The 21,461-nt window shown below is 43.5% G+C and overlaps 1 long non-coding RNA gene across 1 annotated transcript, besides 3 other annotated features; it reads right to left on the minus strand.

Moving 5' to 3' along the window:
• Positions 2,890-3,391: an enhancer, noted in NCBI's record as "NANOG hESC enhancer chr3:188655166-188655667 (GRCh37/hg19 assembly coordinates)". NCBI's record gives its function as "activates a minimal SCP1, AML or CMV promoter by ChIP-STARR-seq in naive H9 embryonic stem cells {active_cell/tissue: H9 hESC(naive)}" and the evidence as "EXISTENCE:reporter gene assay evidence [ECO:0000049][PMID:30033119]".
• Positions 3,511-4,012: an enhancer, noted in NCBI's record as "H3K4me1 hESC enhancer chr3:188655787-188656288 (GRCh37/hg19 assembly coordinates)". NCBI's record gives its function as "activates a minimal SCP1, AML or CMV promoter by ChIP-STARR-seq in primed H9 embryonic stem cells {active_cell/tissue: H9 hESC(primed)}" and the evidence as "EXISTENCE:reporter gene assay evidence [ECO:0000049][PMID:30033119]".
• TPRG1-AS1 (TPRG1 antisense RNA 1) lies at positions 7,228-13,152 on the minus strand. Its single transcript, NR_046873.1, has 2 exons — positions 12,792-13,152; positions 7,228-7,563 (listed from the first exon to the last, which is right to left on the minus strand). It is a non-coding gene; the product is annotated as a TPRG1 antisense RNA 1 (long non-coding RNA).
• Positions 20,053-20,347: a silencer, noted in NCBI's record as "tiled region #11355; HepG2 Repressive DNase matched - State 12:CtcfO". NCBI's record gives its function as "represses a minimal TATA promoter and a strong SV40 promoter by Sharpr-MPRA in HepG2 cells {active_cell/tissue: HepG2}" and the evidence as "EXISTENCE:reporter gene assay evidence [ECO:0000049][PMID:27701403]".

A 21,461-nucleotide genomic window follows, 5' to 3' on the forward strand; every position in this document is an offset into this window, starting at 1 on the left:
AATAGCTTTGAATTTGGCCCAACACAAATTTATAAACTTTCTTAACACATTATGAGATTTTTTGGTGATTTTTTTTTTTAAGACAAAGTCTCGCTCTTGTTGCGCCAGGCTGGAGTACAATGGCATGATCTCAGCTCACTGCAACCTCTGCCTCCTGAGTTCAAGCGATTCTCCTGCCTTAGCCTCCCAAGTAGCTGGGATTACAGGCACCTGCCACCACGCCCAGCTAATTTTTGTATTTTTAGTAGAGACGGGGTTTCACCATGTTGGCCAGGCTGGTCTCGAACTCTGACCTCAGGCGATCCACCTGCCTCAGCCTCCCGAAGTGCTGGAATTACAGGCGTGAGCCCCCACACCCAGCCGGTGATTTTTTTTTCAAGCTCATCAGCTACTGTTAGTGTTAATGTACTTTATGTGTGGCCCAAGACAATTCTTCCTCTAATGTGGCCCAAGGAAGCCAAAAGATTGGACACCCCAGAAACAGTCTTGAAAACTTACTAGAACTTTGGCAGAATTAGAGAGGGAAGGGCCTGTTGGAGCAATGGAGAGCTTAGAGATTTTGGGGGGAAAAATCTTTTTGGGGGAATGGCAAGGGTCTGAAGCTTATTGGAAGACAGTCATGAACAAGCGGTCTGGAGCCAGACGAGTGCGGAGGACCCTTGAGAAACAGATGAGGTTTGGTTTTATTCTGTAGACAAAAGTGCCTTTGGAGGTGTCAGAGTAGATCAGATCAGAGCACAGCTTTTGTGAGAAAAGTGTGTCAGTCGTAAGCAAATGTACGGTGCCTTGCTTTCTTTTCCTGCTCCCCAGCAGGCTGGGTTTTAGGAAGGAAAGGCTGAGCAAAAGCTTAGGAAATGGATCTGACTGACTACTCCCACAAACCATTCTTGACCTTCTTTTGTAAATACCCAATTACCTGTTCATTTCCCCAATTAACTCATCAGTGAAATCAAATCAATCATTATTAATTCTAACTTTAATAAACATTTTTTAGTTTACATATATGATGCTCTTCCTCAAATCATAAATAACTGCATGATGTGTGTGAACTTTCCAAAGGTAGTTTAGGTGGAGAAAAAAATGACATTCAGTTAACAAGCTTATCAGAAGCTGAATCATTACAAATGACAGATATTAAAAATGTAATTAGAATATATATTGTCTAGGAAGACATGCCATATTAATTAGGGGTAAAAAGCCTATGTTTCAGCTCTCAGAATATAAAGTTGAAAGAAGCCTGTGGATTAATATCCATAATCATGGGCAGCGTTGTAGCATGGTAGGTTAGCACAGCACTGTAGTGTCAGAGCACCTGAGTTAAATCCTGGTTCTGTCCCTGTGAGCTATGTGACCCCAGGTAAGTATATAATCTCACTGAGCTTTAGCTTACCCACCTGTAAAGGTTAGATGAAAACAGCATTCTATCTCAGAGTTGCAAAGACTAGGTGAGCTAATATATTAATAAGTAGAACTCTCAGAACAGTGCCTGCTGTATCATAGATGCTATGTAAGTATTACCTATCATTATTTACTTTTTTTTTTTTTTTTTGAGACAGGGTCTTGCTCTGTCACCCAGGCTGGAGTGCAGTGCACAATCACAGCTCACTGCAGCCTCAACTTCCCAGACTTAAGCTATTCTCCCACTGCAGCCTCCTGAGTAGCTAGGACTACAGGTGCATGCTGCCGTACTCAGCTAATTTTTGCATTTTTGTAGAGCTAGGGTTTTGCCATATTGCCCAGGCTAGTCTCAAATTCCTGTGCTCAAGCAATCCTCCCTCCTTAGCCTCTCCAAGTACTGGGATTACAAGTGTGAGCTACCTTGCCCAGCCAGCTATCATTATTATTATTTATTTTCCCTTCACCTGCAAGGAAGAAGGGAACCCAAATGTGCTTGCGGACTTACTATGTAACACTTTTATCATTATTTCCTCATTTAACTTAATATGCTCACTCTTTACATAGGTTGTTATTATTAACCAAGATTATATCTATAAGGAAATTATGAGGAATTAAGTGACCTTTGTGGGGTCACTCAGCCAGAAAGTGGCCCACTGAGATCCAGGATGATCTGGTCCCAAGTTCCCAGCTAGCACAATGAACTCCCTTATATTGAGACTGTTGTAGGCAAGAGTGATTGTTCCAGTTTACTATGACCAATTTGACTAGGCATGATGGATTATTAATGATGGGAATAAATATATTTTCCTTTCCTGTTTTATTTGCTGTAATATAAGCAGTGCAAGACACTTTAACAGACTGGAGTGCTGAGTTGCCTGGTGCTCCACAGATATGATTCATTGTCGGTTCCATTGTAGATACAGACTGAGACAGACAGGAGGCAGCCCAAGAAAACTAGTAACAGCCTCTTGCTGATACTTCATGACCCTAAGGGAGAATGAAGCAGCAACTGAGGTTGAAGAAAATCCACCTGATAGGTTTAGTCAGTGAATGATTACAACCGCTTACATGTGGAGAGCTGAATAGTCACAAAGCCCTTTCCCATATTTACATATTCTCTACTCCTCATAACAACCTGAGATTGCTCAGGCAAGAATCATCACTGGGTTTGACTATTGAAACCAAGAAGGCCTGTAAGCAGCAGAGCGGATTTTGAACTTGGGCCTTTTCTCATTCAATTTTGCTAACTATCATAGTAGAGAAAAGAATGTCAACGTAAAAGGCAAAGTAAATAACTCTGACTTTGAGATGAACATAATGGGTATCCTTTAGATGCTGAGAAGGGTTTTATGGTTCTGTACTAGCACTGTTTGCCTTACGGTGATGTCTTTGCTCCTACAGAAAGGCTTAAGCTCAACCCTTTGGGGTATTAAAAAGAACAAAAGACTTGTCTCAGTTTTTATCCATTAAGGCAGGATCCGCTTCCACCTCCAGGAGTAGTTATGTTCTCCAAGGGGATCGGAGTGTGGGTCAGGGTTCAAAATCACTTCACATCTGATGTCAGACCTTGTTGTACCTCTATGCTTCTTTGATCCAAGTAGGAAGTAATTCTAGGAACTTCTGACCCAGTATTCTTGGTGGTGGTAATTTAAAAGCTTCATTCTTGGCATATTTGTGAGGGGCCCGTCCTGCTACACCCAGTCTCCCGAAGGAAGCAGCTGATTGAGTTCTCATCCTGCCTTTGTTTTTCTCTTTCAAGGAAAAATTCTTTGAGAGCTGAGTATGTCTACATCACACTGGCCTCGTGCCTTCCCATTCCAGACCCTAGATGACTGGTGAAAAGCAACGTTCTCTTCTTCAATTGCACGGTCGACTAATAGTGTGGTACTCTTCACCTGGGGAAATTATTTCACACCAGTCTGGTACTTGGCTGGGCTTCCTTGTGACTTAAGTTTGGAAACATTCAGGGGTATACCTTTTCTATCAGTCAAAGCTAAAGTTTCTACTTTTAGGAGAATTCTTTTCTAGCTCTATGTGGGATATTTTCCCCATGTTTATTATTTCCTTAATGGGGACACAAACTTCATCATGGTCAGGGAGAACTCCGATTTGATTACTTGCAGTGTGGGGTAGGAGAGAGTCAAGAGAAAGGGAACTTAGGCTTCATGTGCTGGTTAGAAGGGCACAGCAGGAGAGAGAATCAAGAAGATATTCGAAGTAGGAGGTGATTTTCCAGTATGCAAGAACAACATCTACATCTTGACAACAACTCAACGATATGTGGAACATGCTTCTGTTACCAGGGGTCTTTGCTCCCAGAGCTCCCAAGATGGTGGTGGGCTGCTTCCAAGATGGTGGCGGGCTGCTTCCAAGATGGTGGCGGGCTGCTTCCAAGATGGTGGCAAGCCTCGTATTCTCTGACGTGGGGTTCTCGGCCTCACGGATTCCAAAGAATGGAATCTTGGGCCATGCGGTGAGTGTTATAGCTCTATTAGGAGCCGTGGGTCACGGAAGAGAACCATGGAACCCAGTGACTAGTGTTCAGCTCGATTAGGACGAACCCGGACACTTAGCTGTGCAGGAACAATGACAAGCCTTTAGCCCGATCAGGAGCAGCAGTGGGCGCCTTGCTGGATCAGGAGCACAGCGGACACCCTGCGGGATCCAGGGGGATGGAAGTCAGCGGTGGGTCTGTGACGGCGGCCAGCATCAGTGGGCGGCGAGCGAAAGCTCAGCTCCAGCCGTAACAAACAGGGACCAGAAGAGTGCAGTTGCAAGATTTAATAGAGTGAAAACAGAGCTCCCATACAAAGGGAGGGGACCTGAAGGGGTTGCCATTGCCGGCTCGAATGCCTGTGTTTATATCCTGATCATTGTCTCTTCTGCTGTGCTCTCAGGCGATAGATCATTGGCTATTTCTTTACCTCCTGTTTTTGCCTAATTAGCATTTTAGTGAGCTCTCTTTACTATCTGATTGGTTGGGTGTGAGCTAAGTTGCAAGCCCCATGCTTAAAGGTGGACACGGTCACCTTCCCAGCTAGGGTTAGGGATTCTTAGTTGGCCTAGGAAATCCGGCTAGTCCTGTCTCTCACTTCTACCAAATGTCCAACAAAGGAAGCCAGTATAGATCCTAGCAGCCTGGCGGATTCTAGAAGCCTTCTTCGGGGACCACTATTTGAGGCTCAAGCTCAGTTACTGTACAGAAAAAGTAAAGAAGGTGGGTCCTAAGGCATTCTTGGGACTCTGAGTTGGCTCACCAACTCCAGCTGCCCACTCTGGGCAGGTGTTACTTAAACCCACATCTAAGTTCAGATCTCTCTTTTTTCTACCAGATAGCTCTCGCTGGTGGCTCTTCAACACTTCCAACACCAGATGTCTATATAAAGCTCTCTTACTTCCAGCCCAAAGTCTTCTGACTTTTGCTGTGTTTGCAATCTCTGCTCACAGCTCCACCTGCTTCACCCACCCTCCCAGGTAGAAACTTGAGGATTATTGCTAATTTCTCCTTCTCTTTTCTCCTGCACGCATTCTATTCAATCATTCTGCAGTCTTTGATCTTTCGATTCCCACCACAGCTGCTCTGTCTGATCCCCCATCGGTTTTTGCATGCGTCACTTTAGCAGCCTCCTAATAATATCCTTCTCTCCAGTCTCTCTTTTTAACCATCGATTATTCATGGAACTTCTTGAGCCACTTGTCTAAGGCTCAGCTCTGGTAGTTTTATTTATCTTCTGCAAAAATCAGGGTGATTCCCACTGCTGTTTCTTAGCATGTCATTTCTGGCAAACACTGACATTCTCATGGCCATTCAAATTACTCCTATGTGTACTTTTCCTGTTCTTTTTTTTCTGATTAGGTTGTTCCATCCTCCTCGAATTCTCTTCTTGCATATCTCTGTCAAAATCTTTTTCAAGGTCCTGCTCAAATTCTACTTCCTTTGTAAATAATATGCATTTATTCAATAAACAACTTACAAATATTTACTATGCACTCCTAGGCATCAGGCACCATAGTAGGTACTGGCGAGATAGCCATGGATAAGAAAGACATTATTGCTCATAGTCTATTGTAGGAGTAGATTCCCAACAAACAAACACACAAATAGATATTAATAGTAAGTTGTGCTATGTATTTTGAAGAGAAAGGACATGATGTCATGAAATAGAATGATGCAAGGACAAGGAGGAGGGGTTTGGAGTTAGGGAAGGTTCTCTGGAAGCAATATAAAGATGAATAGGATTTAGGCAGAGGGCAAGAAGGGGCAAATAGATGTTTGAAGGCCCTGCGGCAAGAAGGAAAGGGCCTTGCAATCCCTAAGGTCAGAATGAACTGTTCTGTCCCCTCTGTGTTCACAAAGGATTCTGTTTTCACAAGGACAGTCTGCTACTTATTTCATTAAAAAACTAGTTGGTTCAACAAGTATTTCTGTGTACCTGGTATGTAGGCACTAGAAGTAGTAGCAGGCACTGGATTTAGAGGTGAGCCAAGTGTCCCCATGCACCTCCCAGAAATCCAGTCTCCGTCACTTCAAGGCTTGGCATAGTACTGATGGAATAGGAGGAACCTAGGAAAAATGTGGACCTGCGTGTTCAGGAGCGTGTGCTTGTGTGATAACAAGATGAAGTGGATTCATATTGGAACACTTATTACAAATGCTCCAAAACAGTCCCTACTCCTTTTCTGCAGGTCCTTCTGAAGACCAAGAAACCTCTCACTGAGCAGCCTGCAGAGGCTGCAGGAGCACACACACAGTACTCCATTCCATTCCCTTGGATTCTTGGGCACAAACCATCCCCCTGGGATAGCAGACTTTCTTCCAGTTTCAAGTCGTTTGACCATGTTCTAGTCTGAGCTAATTTTGTAAGTCAAATTGCTTAAGAATGAATATGAAATCTTTGACTGAAGCCCAAATATATAAATACCCATCACATTTCCTTCCTCCCCAATTTTGCAATCATCCAAAAAAGCTGTTCATGTTGTCCAGCATAATTAGTTATTTATACACCCTCATGTGGTCCATTGTTCAGAATTAAATTGTCTGGTATACAGAATTTCTCTTGCAAGGCTTGTTTTGCCATTTTACTGCTGTTTGGAAGCTGTTTGTAAATATGTCCTTGTAGAACCTTTTGGGATATGTCTGAGCATATCCAGGATTTGGGAGGCGATATAAGCCAATCCATATAAGCAAATATGCCCTGTGCAGGTCTCAGACCACCCCCTGCCTTCTAACACAAAGACTACCAAGAATTATTCATCCTTTCCTTGAAGACCCAGGGGAATTAGAAGGAACACAAAAATAGACACAGAAAGGTAAAAGTGGAAATCATCTTGGAGATCAAGACACTAGATTCTAGTGACTCCATTTTGCACAAGGGGAAGCGGGTCCCCAGAAAGGGGAAATGAAAGGGACTGGTCTACAGCTTCTCGTGGGTTAGTGGCAGGGCCATGCCCAAATCATTGTCAGCTGAGTCCATGATGTTCCTACTAAACCATGAAGTGGACTGGTACAAGACTTCTCCCAGGCATTTTCTGGGCTTGTTATTTGCTCCTGAATGACATGGTCCCAGGCTGCTACGTTCTCAGCTCTGGTACCTATGTATATATTTTTTATTTTTATTTATTTTTTTTTTGAGATGTAGATTCGCTCTGTTGCCTAGGTTGGAGAGTAGTGGCACAATCTCGGCACACTGCAACTTCTGCCTCCCAGGTTCAAGCAGTTCTCCTGCCTCAGCCTCCTGAGAAGCTGGGATTACAGGTACCCACCACCACACCCAGCTATTTTTTTTGTATTTTTAGTAGAGACAGGGTTTCACCATGTTGGCCAGGCTGGTCTCGAACTCCTGACCTCAGGTGATTCACCCACCTCGGCCTCCCAAAGTGCTGGGATTACAGGCATGAGCCACCGTGCCTGAACTTATTTTATAGCTCTTTGGTCTCCTCCCAGATGGCTTGGCAAACAGCGATTACTGATGAGTGTTACCCATCATGCAACAATTCTGCTCTCTTTTCTGTCACACGGTGGTCAGAGACTCCAGATAGTCCTCCAATTTAATGTAAAATGAGACTTGTTTTTGATTGAGGGTCTGAAGGACTCTGCTTCATGGGTGACATCCATAAATTTTATGTTCCAGCATATGGTTTATCTTGGTGAATGTTCCATGTGCCCTGGAAAGGAATGAGTATTCTGTTGTTATTGGGCAGAGTGTTCTACAAAGGTCAATTAGATTCAGTGGTTGTTTAGTTACATATCCTTGCTGGGTTTCCATCAACAAATTTTAATTTATAGACTTTGTAACATTAGCTTTGATTGTTCAAAAGCATTTTTAGGGTTTCTTTTTATATAAGAGTACAAGATCCTGAATCTTATTTTAAAATGGGACTTTCTGGGTAACCAGGTTAGAGGGCAGCAGTGCGGATTTTTTGAATGATTGGGCAGATGGTGTGATTTGAAGAATCCAGAAATTCTTCTCTTAATGCACATATATGGGCTGTCAGTATGCTAACTTACTACAAAGATCCTACATAAATTCCCCTTGGAATACGGCCTGTTGTTGTATCTAGGAAATATCAGGTCAGCTAGCCAACATCAGAACATTTAAAACTCATTATCTTTCTGTGTTATTATTCATAAAGTCCCTAGATTTTCTACAATGAGGCCACATATTAGTGTTAATGAAATTTATTAGATTTTAAATATATTTATGACTTTATATTTTTATTTTAAATTATTAAATATGTAACCATACAGAAAAGACATAACAGATGCCATGTACTCACCACCAGAATTCACAGATCCTAACATTTTGCCATATTTACTTCAGATCTCTTTTTTTCTTAAAATAAATTAAACGTAACACGCAAAGTAAAAGATTCCACCTTCCATTTCCTTTTTCCTCCCTCCTTCTTTCACTCTCAACCTCAACAGAGGAATCTACTCTCCTGAATTTAGTGGATATCATTCTCATGAATGTTTTTATACTTTCACTCCAAACAAATGTATCCACAGCAATTTATGACCGAGACTATTTCATGATATTTATTATTTTTTATAGTCAGAGGAAGGAAGACTCATCTGTCATCTTTAGAGGTCCTAGATCCCTTATAATCTCAATTCCTTCCAAATGGATTTTGCTTTAATCCTGGTTTTTATGTTCTTTCTCTGGTGATCTACTTACCCAGTTTTATTTCCTCCTAGCTAACGTCTTGTCTTTATTTTGCCAGAAATGGTAGCTTGAACCCTCCTCCTATGAATTGGCCTTTCAGAGGCTGTGGTCTGCTCACCTTAGGCATTACTCACCCCAAATCCCTGTAATCTGGCCCCTAGTTAGTTCAACCCACCTGGCTCCTGCACCTGGATCTGTGAGTGGCCATAGCTGCTCTTGTCAGACCTGACCTGTCTGCCTCAGCATTCCAGCACCAACGAGGAGGTTCAGTGCCCATCCTGCCCTACCTGTCTGTTTAGATCTTCCATGTTTGGAACGTAACCCCGAGAGAGGACACATCCGGGGAAAGCTGAGACAGTGCTGGTGGAGATTGATGAGTGTGAGGATGATGATTGATAATAGGCAACATTCTTGAGTAATATAATCAAAATGGTAAGATCTAAGGTGTAACACAATACATTCAAAAGGTTTCCTTCAACATAATAGTAGCTGATTTTTATGGAGCACCTACTGTATATCAAGTCTGTGCTAGGCACTTTATATCTTATTCCTTCTTAAAAATAACTACTTCACAGATGAGAAAGCTGAGGCATACAGAAGAAATGTGCTACTATGAAAATATTATGAGATTTAGAATAAGGCAGACTTGGGTTCAAACTGGCTCTACTACTTGCAACTTACACAGCCTTGGGCCAGTTTCTTAGCTGTCCTAAGCCTGGCACAAAATAAATGCTCAGTAATGATGACTATTGTTATTGCAGAAGATCTGGGTTCTTGCCCAAGCTTACACAGCTAATGTACAGTAGAACTGGGATTTAAATCCAGATCTGCTTCTCTAAAACTACCCTCTTTTCAGAGAAATATGAGTTCTCTCTTAAAGAAGTTGTCATCATGTATGGAAAGAGCACTAACATTAAAATGAGAAGGCTTCATCCCTTTCTGCCATTCTCCATCACTTATGTGATGGGCAGCCATCAACAAGTCATTTCCTCTCTCTTTTTCCTCAGTTTTCTCTTTTATAACATGAAGGAGTGGAATTAGGTAACCTCTAGGTTCTGTTTGTTCCAGCCCTGGAATCCTGTCCCCTTGTTCAAAAAACATAGCACTAAATTGCCTTTCCAAGTGGAATGACAAAAGGCAATGACATTCATATTTTAAAGAAGGCCAGGATAGGACAGTTGGCACAGCTTCTATCAGCAGTTTGTCCCAAACCCTTAACAATGGAAACCAATTGGATTTCTTTTCTGTTTCCCAACTTGAGCTGGGAAGGGAGCCAGGCCATAGAAGGCTTTAGAAGACAACAAAATCAGTTGCCTAAACTCATAGCTCTCTCGGGCAAGTTTCTTTGCTTCTCTCTCTCTCTTCCCTTTCATCCTTCTTTTGTTTTTTTTTAGAGAGGGAAGACTAAAACCAGAAGATGGGTAATTAAGATAACTAAGAGATAGAGAGTCACAGGAAGGGTTTTATTTCAGCTCAAGGTTTCATTTTTTTTCTTTCTTTTCTCCCCAGTTCTTTCTGATTTCATTTTCTAAAACTGCAGCACATATATTTGAGGGATCATTAAAGAAGTCCTGCATTCCTGCTCAGTGAATTTTAAACTCTTCTACACCACCCTGGGCTACCTGTTTACTGAAGTTAAAGGTAGGAACAACCTTCTTGGAGAAACCTTTGTCCACGTTTGGATCACTGTGGTGGTCCTCTTGGCCTTGGGGTCAAAGAAGCATTCACTTGCTCATCAAGTCTTTATCGAGCTCCTACTATGGATGTCACTGTGGTAAGCCCTGGGACAAGTAAGAAAGGAAAGGCTCCTGTTCCCATCTCTCATGGAGTTTATAGGCCAACGTAAAAGATGAAACACAAGTAAATACACAAATACAACATCTAGGAGGTGCTACAAAGGAGCTATGAAGCTACCCTAGCTTCTGCTGCCTCATAACTGGCCCCAGAGCAAAATTTCTCCACTCATTATCATCCTGAGACTGTAGCACATCTGCCCTCCATGTCATCAGAGAGACTCACCTGGCCCTGCTGAGCTTGCCCTGGCTCCCTGGGACACCTGGTCTCCTTGCTTAGCTCCCAGTGTGCTTTCTCATTCTGCCCCTGCTCATTCTCCGCCGGCACTATGTTCTCTGAATGCTGGCAAGCTTGCTGTTCTCTAAATCCTCCCTTTCTTTTCCTGCTTTTGGGTCTTTGCTCTTGCTGATCCCTTTATCAGGAACTTCCCTCACCTCTACCTCCACTTGTCCAAATGCTACCAATTCTTCCAGGATCTGTTCATGCTCCTTTACCCTCACTGCAGCCATCCTGAACCCTTCTCCCCACCTTGGGGAGTATCTGCTTGTTCTTCCCTGGTGCTCATGGCATTTGGTTTATTGTGCTAATCAGAGCGCTCATCATCCACTGACTGGTATTACACAGTTACTTGTGTATCTGTCCTAGGCCCTTACCTACTTATCTCCAACCTAAAGGCATGTCTATTATTTCTGCATCTCAAATAGAAGCAGACACAGTTAATGCAAAACCATATTATTGAATAAGTGCTCAGTAATGATGACTATTATGCACTTGAGACTGGAGACCTAGGACAGAGACAGGAGCATATCTGGATTTAAATCCCAGTTCTACTGTATGTTAGCTGTGTAACCCTGGGCAACTTTATTTATTAATAATAAAGTATGTGAGCAATCTTATATCACTGTACAGAGTGCTCATATATGTTATCCAGCTTAATTCCTAGAACAACCCTGTGTGAGAAGAACTACTGAGTGCTGACACTAGTCATAGTGCTAGACTCATAGCTGAATTCAGATTCCAAATTAAGTAGCCTGATTGTAGATACAACCATTCACATGCGAACATTTTGCTTTTTTCCTGGCTCAGCACTGCCAGTACTGCTTCTTTGAGGTACAATTATGCCCATTTTACAGATGAGAAAACTGAGACTTAGAAAGCTTAAATAATTTGTCAGTATTGTAAAACTACCTATCTTTGTTATCAGAGAAACATGACTGTGACCAACCTAGGTATATACAATTTTCCACAGCCATGTGAAAGTTTTATGACTCTTTAACATTTCTGGTTGTCTGCTATGCTCGGTGCATTGGGCTGGCTGGACCTTGTATATGTTGGGAAGAAGGAGGACTTACAAAGACTAAGATACAGTCTTTGCTTCCAAGAGGTAAATAAAAAACAACTAAAATATTCTATCATCCACACCTATTCCCTCTCCCTTCTTTTTTCAGCATGTTACTGGATGCTGCCTCTTTATCCATCTGCCCTGGTGGAGATCTTGAGGTTACAGGAATAGCCAAGAGAGACACAGGCAGAGTTAAGTCCAAAGCAGTCAGCAAAGGTGGGGAGACATAGATGGGTCCAGGTGGTAAGTAGGATTGGCCTTGTTATTGGAAGCTGAATGTAGTTACTGGACTTGGAGATTTCGGTTTCTAGAGAAGACAGCAGCTCTCCATGCCCAGTTTAATACTGTGGATTAGCGTGGGAGTGGCCCCAGACCCACAGGCAGAAAAGGCCAATGGTCAGAGTGGAGATCCTCAGGACACTCCAGGTGTCTGAGGGAACGTAGGTTTATCCCTCTTTATTACTAAGTGGATTGCTGCTCCCCCTTGCAGGCCAAAGCATGAATACTGGACATAGCCCACATCGAGGGTAGAGAACTTGGTTTTGGCTCTCAAGTCGACCACTCATCAGCAGATGACTGTGAGCAAGTCACTTCCTCCCTCCAAGACTCCATTTCTACAGGGATTCCATAAAATGGGCATAAGAATTTTCACTGTGCTCGTATGGACTGGATTAGGCCATCATGTGCATTAACACACTTGGCTGTGAGCACTAGGTGCAGCCAAGATGCTGATGGGAAAGAAAAGTCTAGGTTTTGCCCCCTGCGTCGTTCCTCGTGACAGGATTATGCTGAGGGAGGGCACATTAGATTGACTCACACATACTGAAATGGTCATAGTTATTGAGGTTACCCAGTTTCCAGGCCTGAACTAGTAAACCCAGCAATGAGAATCAGCCAGCATTAGCAAGTTTTCCGTGTGGGAGTGGGGTGGGGGTGGGGACTGGAGGGAGCAGGCGCTGAACCAGGAAAGGAGGAGGATGCTCATCATTGGCTAAAGATCCATGCCTGGAAATTAACGGCGTTAAAGTGAGACTTGCTTCAGGTTCCAACCCGGTAAGGCAAATGGAGAGGCTGTCAGGAGACCAGAAGTTTACCTCAGCTATTGCACCGACGCACCACGTGCTCTGGTGCACATCCACCGCCTCTTCCTGCCTCAGTTTCTCCTTTTGTAAAACAACAGCTTGTAAAGGCCTGGGGATCTTCTCATCCACGGGAGTTTTCTAAGGATGCAGGCGAAAGAGGTAGGAAAAGTACTCTGTCTCTGTCCTGGGTGTTCGGGATCAAGGCCTTTTGAACCAATTCCGGAATCCGCCACCGGGCGGTGGTAGGAGAGAGCCAGAGGATTCGTCAGTAAGTGTGCGTGCGTGACAGAGGGCTTTTAAATAGATCGCTTTGTATCTAGCACGGTAGCACCTGCTTCTAAGCTTCCAACGGCAGCTCGAGCAACGCGATCATTCAGAAGCGGCCGCTTTCCATTCACGTCTATAATTAGCGCGCAGGCTGCAGCTCAGGCTCGAGCTGCAAAGCGGGGCGGCGGCCTTGTGGGCGGGGCCACCACCTCCTAGCCCCGCCCCCTTCGAATTCCACCTTCCCAGCCCTTCCCAGCCAGGAGCCTCCTGCAGCCTCCTCCCCACCCCCACTGTCTGTCCTCGCCCTGGTTCTGGGCTTCGCTCTCGGCGCTCCAGGATTCCTGGACGACAGGGCCCAATCGTACCCTCACTCTGGGATCACTCTTGTGCAGTAAATAAGCACCTTGAAAGATGCATTCCAGGAGGGCAGCTATATTTAGAGTGGCATCCTCCTCTCCTCCCCGCACGCTCCTGCGTCCCGCCCTCTCCCCTCCCCGCCCCGCTCCCCGATGCCCCTCCCAGCCACCTCTCCCTCTTTGTCGCATTACATAGTAATCTGAGATGCACTGGATGTGCTCCAGGGAACAGAATGTACTTGGCAGAGACGCGGGGCTTGATGTCTGCAAAATGTCGGAAACGCAGCCAAGAGCTGCTAACTGGGTCATTAACCTCCAAAAGCAAAGCGAGGACTGTAAGGCCCGCTCTGCCTCCCTTCATCTCGCCAATAAAAGTGCCTCAGTGTGAGGGGGAAGAAAAAGCCCAAGGTTGACTGCTTTGATTTCTAGGCACCAAAGGCAGGCCCGTCCTCTCGTCCTGGCCCAGGCCCCAGCCCCTCCGGGCCAGCCCCTGCGCCACATCAGAGTTTACAAGTGACCTTTGAAAGGCTCAGCAACCCCGCAGGGCCATGCTTGCGCCTCAGCAAAGAAGTTACCCAGCAGCCGTTCCCTACCGCACAGCCTTGGACACATTTTCTTGGGTCCAGGAGGAGTTAAGGGAGTGGGGGTGAGTAGGGGTGAAAGGAGAAGGTTCCAGGTCCTTCACCTACAGTGAAGGGCTCTGCTGTCTCTCCCCTCCTCTGCTTCTCTCCCTCTTTTTCCTCCCCCTCCTCTTTCTTCTTTCTTGTCTTCCTCCTCTCCCTCTTCCACTTCTTTCTGAGAGCAGGCTTTGAGGTAGGTTCATGAATACATGGCCTGGGTCCAGGGGATTTGCATTCAAGCCGCTTGCAGCTCTGTTACTTGCTATGTGACCTTGGGTGAGTCACTCATTTCTCTGCTTTTAAATTCCCTTCTTCTCCATTGTTCACCACAATAACACCTTCCTGACATACATCACAAAACAGTGAGGCCAAATGAGAAAGTCTTTCCCTGACCGCCTTGTCTTTCACCCCTCTGAAAGCCCTGAGGTCCAAAGTGCCTCTGGCCTTGTGTGTACTCCTGGAAAATAGGAATACAAGTGGTCTCACCAGAAAGATTCAAACGTTTGAATGTTTTCAAGGGGATAGCCCCTAAAATCCACCCTCTTCAAGTTTTCTAGCCCTGTGAGGTTGCCAAACAGACACTTCCCCCTAATGCTCCAACCCACTTCTCCAGTGGCTAGAGAGAGAAAGTGACCGGTACAGAAACCAGAAGAGGTTGTGCAGTTCCTCAAATGAGACTCCCTTCCTTGTTGGAGGGAAGACAGTCAGCCTGGTAAGACTAGCAGCAGCCCACGAGATGTGGGTCTGAGCAGTCTCAACAAAAGTCCAGGATGAGGAGAATGGAGATTTGTGCAGCCATGCTGATAAGAGGAGGAAAGCTCGCTCCTGGTGCTCTCTAGGAAATTAGAACCAAGCCCAGCCTGGCATCAGCACCCTTCCTGCCTCATCTCTCGTTGGTCTTACCACTCCTTCCATGGCAGCCACATCAGATGGGTTCTGGCTGGTCGCGGTGCTCCATGGACGCCTCCTGCTTTCCTGCCACTTGGGCCTTGGCTGAGATGTCTTAAAAAATTTTTTAAACTCATCAGAATTTGATGGCCTCTATTTGGCCTATCTCTGCCACACATTCAAATCTTTCACATCCCTCAAAACCCAGCTTCAATGCCATCTCCTCTATTTAGATGTCACTTCTTTCTCTTTCAGTCTCAGTACACCCAGCCAGCCTTGGGTTATGCCATTTTTGTGCTTGCTAGATCCCTCTTATGCCATAGAGATTTCTCTGTGGATACAAACTCTGCTGTTGATCTCAATACTGATGGCTAAGGTATATCATAATACATCATAAATACATCCTGGTTTGCCATCTCAGTTTATGACTTTGTCTTGGTATAATATAAAATGTACCTTATGGCTAAGGTACATCATAAGGTACATCATAATACATCCTGATTTGCCATCTCAGTTTATGACTCTGTCTTGGTATAATTAGTTATTAATAGGTCCCTCCTTCACCTTGAAGTTTTTGGGTTTGGATGATAAATTATACAGTCACCTTACTGAGGGTCTCTATCCAAGTACATGGTACATTAGCAGGGGCTCAGTAAATGTGGCAAAGTACCTTAAAGGGCATTTAAAGGATCTTTTATACCCAGGTCACTGGGGCTCTCAGCCCTACCCTTTTCACTCCTTTTCTGGAGGCAGGCTACCATTTGTTCCTCTTCTCTCAAGGACTGCAGAATGACCTATGACCACTTTCTTTTTGACAAGCCTTTCCAGGATTTCAAAATGCTCTGACCCAACAAGAGAAATCACTTACCACAATCCTACCCCTTCTTCTCAGCCCCTAAACAGTAGAACAGCCACTGGATATTGGAAATAGGTATCAGACACTAGAGAAGGTCAGAACACAGCTGGTGCGATATATCATTTCCAGCCTCAACTGGACTTTTGGCCTTGCCCAATTTCTTTTTTTGTTTGTTTGTTTGTTTGTTTTTGTTTTTGAGATAGAGTCTTGCTCTGTCACCCAGGCTGGAGTGCAGTGGCATGACCTCGGCTCACTGCAACCTCTGCCTCCTGGGTTCAAGTGATTCCCCTGCCTCAGCCTCCCGAGTAGCTGGTACAGGTGCCCACCACCATGCTTGGCTAATTTTTGTATTTTTAGTAGAGATGGGGTTTCACCATGTTGGCCAGGCTGGTCTCGAACTCCTGACCTCAGGTGATCTGCCTGCCTCAACCTCCCAAAGTGCTGGGATTATAGGCATGAGCCACTGCGCCCAGCCAGACTTGCCCAATTTCTTTGACAGTCCAAGTTTTCAGAATTGCCTCTATTTACACAGTTGCCTTAGGAGAGGATCACAACTTGGAAAGCTTGAAGCTTCTTTATTATAAACTATGTAGTTAACATTCTAGGTTCTGTTCAGAGGTCAGAAAAGATAAGGTCTCTTGTGCTTTTTCATCATAATAAAAAACTTACTCAAAAGTCAGCCTGTTGGGGTGAGTGTTTGTTGACTTTTTAAACAAGATATCAAGCATTTGGAAGTAACAGAGGCAATACGCCCAGCCGTGTGAATGGAGCTCTAGCTTCAGCATCAGGAAGCCTGGGTCGACGTCTCCTCCTCTGACTCATTGCTTGCTGAAACATGAATCATATGCCCTTTCTCAGCACTGGGTCTCACTTCCTTCATCTCCCCTATAAAATGGGCGTATTTGCCATTCCTACCACACAGGAGGGGGCTGAGGCTTTCAGAGTCCTTGCTAATTACACACAAAAATATTATTAAAAGTAAAAATAAGCCATAGTGTGATTTTGACGCTCTGAAGAGGCACACGTGGAGGGTATGCGAAGCCATTTTATGACCTTGCTTCGTTTCTGGACATCCCAGTTCACTGAGAACAGGCTCTCAGAACGTGGGAATGGGCAGGAGAATCCATGTTGAGATGGAGATGCGAATGAGTCTGGTCTGTTTACGTGGGAGCAGGAGACCTTTGAGGAGATCACTCGCCAGCAATCAAGAAGAAGAACATGGAGACTGGGATGGAAACCCAAATAAGGCTATTCTGTGGAGGGCTCTGATGCCAAGGCTGGGGTGTTTGGACTCCCTTGAGGGTTATGGGAGATCAGTGGAGGTGACTGAGCAGGAGCATGGCACGACCCACAGTGTGTTTCAGTGAGACACTGTTTCATGGAGGGGCAGAAATGGGAGCTGGGGTCTGTCACCTTGTAAGCAAATGGCAGCTCCCCTCTGTCTGAGCTTCAGTTTCTCATCTGTTAAATAGATGGGTTAAACAGCAAATTGGTCTAATATGCTGTGATTCTATACTAAAGAACATGAGGAAACAGCTTGTCATATTGACGTGTGTGTGTGGAGGGTGTGTGTGTGTTTGGGTCAGGGGAAGAGGTGGGAATGCGGTAACTGCTTTGTTAGACACAAAGCCAAGTCCAGAGACCTTGTTCTTTAGGGAGGAAGCCTGAGCAGCCTCACGATCTCTAGCAGGTCTGAAGAACTTTCTGGGTATCTTTCTTTAGGCCACAGCACAGCACATCTGCACTTTAGGGCCTGGCCAGCGACCTCTGTCTAGACGTGTCTGCTGTCTACTTCCTAGTTCAGCTGAGAGAGCTAATATTTGAAAAGACTGGCCAGGCGCAGTGGCTCACGGCTGTAATCCCAGCACTTTGGGAGGCCGAGGCTGGCGGATCACCTGAAGTCAGTAGTTTGAGATCAGCCTGGCCAACATGGCGAAACCCTGAATCTACTAAAAATACAAAAATGAGCTGGGCGTAGTGGCAGGCACCTGTAATCCCAGCTACTTGGGAGGCTGAGGCAGGAGAGTTGCTTGAACTCGGGAGGCGGAGGTTGCAGTGAGCCGAGATCATGCCCTTGCACTCCAGCCTGGGTGACAAGAGCGAAACTCTGTCTCAAAAACAAAACAAGACAAAACAAAACGAAAGACTGCATAGGGGTTCTTGCAAACTAGCTATTTCTCAAGATATTTCAAATCTGTCTGTATCTTCCTATTAAATTTTCAGGAAGTTTTATATCAATGAGGACTACATGGCTTGGAGGCCCCAGAACTCTATCTTCAAAGTACAACTTGATAGTACACCTCCGACACTTACCAAGGTTTGCTGTAACATTGGTACATAGAAGAGCCTTTATTATAATGGTGTTATAAAGATAGCATCTGTTAAGTTGCTTTATATAAAGTTTCAGATGGAAAATTCATCAGTGAACTTATATAGTAAAAAAAAAATCATTAAAAATTTGGGTGGATCTACTTAGGTTTAAGTATAACTGCATTTGTGCTCCTGTTTTATAGTTGGGTTTAAAAATACTTGTGATTTTTATTATAAGCTTCCTCATATATCTTTTCAAGTAGGTTTATGTAAATAAGTAAGTAAGTAAATAAATAAATAAAGGTTCACTTGGACCCAAGTTAGTGCACGAAATGAAGAAATAAATCCACTTACGAATGGTGAACTGACTGAAGCCCTCCTAAGATGTTAGTTCAGGCAAAAGATCCAAATTTCAGAGCATCACAAGAGACAGCAGATTCCACTGAAACTATTACCTTACTGCTCCTATATATGAGGTGAAGTTTTGTGTGAGAAGGATCAAAGAGATTGTGATCATCTCTAAGCAGTGCAAAAATCTAGTGATGAGCAGGAGGAGAAAATCTAAATAGTTCTGGTAGAGATATAGGGATTAGTAAGTGAGGAGGTTATATGCTGGAGGTTACATTTAGCCTATAAAAACACCATAATCCAGGTTTATTCTACCAATTACTGTGTGGCCTTGAGATCTACATTTTAGCATTTACTAAATGATAGGGAAGAGCAGTTGAGCTCTTAAGCTTCTTCTAGTGCTCGCTTTCTATTTGCCCCAAAGTCAGTCTACACTGAGTGACTGATCAAACTCCACTTCCACCTTGGATTCCATAAACCAGCTAAGAAATAGATACTCTCTTCCTCACCCTTAGCCCCACACCACACCCCCACTGCTCATGACTGGAGGGCATATGTCGATTGGAGGGAAGGATGCGACTGGAAGTCTCTGAGAAGAGCTCTTCTCTTCCCTCAGGGACATGTCTATTCACTGAAGAATGACATAATAAATGGTCAGCTACCTTTAACCTGCCTTCCATGGATTCCCTGAGGAAAAATTAAATTACTGTTCTAATATGCTACAAACGCACAGACTCAAAATGTAAAATATGAAATGAATCTGACAGGTTATGTGGTTTAGCTCCCACACTTGATGGACAGAGAAACTGAGGCTTGAAGAGACGCACCCAAGGAACCTGGCCAAAGACACAGAGACAAGAAGTCTTGGAGCTAGGGCTACAGCCCAGATCTCCACTGCTCCTTGGTGCTCTTTGTTTTTTTTTTTTTTTTTTTTGCTACAAGTTGGAGCTCAGTCCCTGGGTTGCAATGGATAAATCTTTTGCTAGGCAACCCAGTTGCTAAGCTTTGCTCACATCATTCTTGAGCTCAAAAACCTTTATGGATTTCAGCTATTCATTCCTAGTATAGTCATCCTTTGGTATCCTTGAGGGATTGGTTCCAGAATCTTCTGAGGATACCAAAATCCAGGGATGCTCAAGTATCTCATATAAAATGGTGTAGTATTTGCATATAACCTACGCACATCCTCCTATATGCTTTAAATCATTGCTAGATTACTCATAATAATACAGTGTAAATGCTATGTCAATCGTTGTTATACTGTACTATTTAGGGAAGAATGACAAGAAAATCTCTACATGTTCAGTACAAATGCAACCTTCCATTTATTTTTCCAAATATTTTTCATCGACACTTGGTTGAATTCATGGATGTGGAACCTATGGATACAAAGGGCCAATTGTACAAGATTCATTTTGTGTCATTATTTGGGCTCTGCCCATGATATTGCTACTACTTTTTAAAAAAATTTATGAATTCCCTTCTGGAAGACGAGGTAGAAAGTAGACAGGCGATTTTGCTAAGCAGTTTTGACATCTCTCACACACACCTATTTTGGCTAACCTTTTCCTGATTTCTCAGTCCTCAGTAGCTCCTCTGTGCACGTGCCCAGATGTCACATTTCTTAACTTATTTTCTATTTCTTGAGGATAATTTAGTCACTTTTTTCTCTACAGTAAGCAGAGAAGGTAGAGCTGGAAAATGGGGTCTTCATCAGAGTTTAACTAGACTATGAATAGAATTCTGTAAGGCACGGACCAATGAGCTGTCTTTTAGGTCAGTCCAGAAGGACTCAGATTCACACCAAACTTAAGTGGCTGGTGAATGAGGCTCAGATTGTCCTCCCAGTTTCCCACTGCCATCCCCAATCCTGCTCCAAGAGCGCCCTCTGCTGGAATGGAGCAGGAGCCAACATCCTCAGCCATCTTGGAAGTGGGGCCAACTGGAACTCTGAAAGGATGAAAAGTACCTCTGTTTAAATACAAGCTCCAAATAAGACAGATCAAGTCTACAATGTCTTCTTGACTTTTATTTCTCATTCCTTCTATTTCCATTTCTTTGACAACTTTTCTTAAGAGGATCACGATGTGGTGAAAAAATAGAATTTAAAGAGGGGAAATGTAATCCAGTGAAATGGGCATAAAACTAAGAATTCTGCCTTCTTTGAGAGGTTTAATTGCTGGGTTACAAAGAGTAATTTCTTGGAATAACTCAGTTTCTAGTCTCAGATTGTAATTACTCCTTCAGTTAGAAACCTTCTTCCATTCATTGCCTGCTAAATTAAGTCAACATTCTTTACTTAGCTTTCAAGGTATATTTGTATATGAATTTACAAATTCATAATATGTTATTTAGTTTGTACTTCATTTATCAAAGCTAATAGTATCTTTACTTTAAAAAAATTTTACTCTGATCTACTTTTTAGAAATTGAAAAGATATTGAAAACTTTAAAAGTACATTTGAATACCAAAGTCATATGTTTCACATTAAAAATCATGCTCAGCACTTAATCTGCTTATAATTTTGAACAAGTGGAAGACCCTGATTAAATAATTAGCTTTTGAACAGAAACAATAATTGATAGGTTGAATTCTATCTTTAGCACTGATGTTAGTCCTAACTTGTTGTTTAGGATTGAGACAAGGTAAAGCGACATAAAAGATTTGGGGGAGTTGATATAACCTTTAAAGTGTCATTTAGTCAAAGGAAGAAACAGTAGCTAGGAATATACCTATTGAATAAACATAGCAATATGGTAGATTCTAGTCCTAGACCCCTGTTTTACAGCTAGAATTATGCCAAAAAGTTGAAAAGTAAAGCTGGATGAAACCTTAGAGAAGACTCCGCCATCTTATAACTCAGATGGTGAAATGAGACCCAGAAAGAATAGTCTTCCCAAAGGCTCACGGTCAGTTATTATAGGAGCCTCATTTGGAATTTGAGTCATCCAATTCTCAATCCACTGTTCTTACCACTACCCAACACTACCTTTGTTTAACTGTCTTTCTTGCATAAAAAGGGACTTATAGGTGAGAG

The sequence above is a fragment of the Homo sapiens genome, chromosome 3 (genome assembly GCF_000001405.40).
Source record: "Homo sapiens chromosome 3, GRCh38.p14 Primary Assembly".
In the NCBI taxonomy this organism is placed as follows: Eukaryota; Metazoa; Chordata; class Mammalia; order Primates; family Hominidae; genus Homo; species Homo sapiens.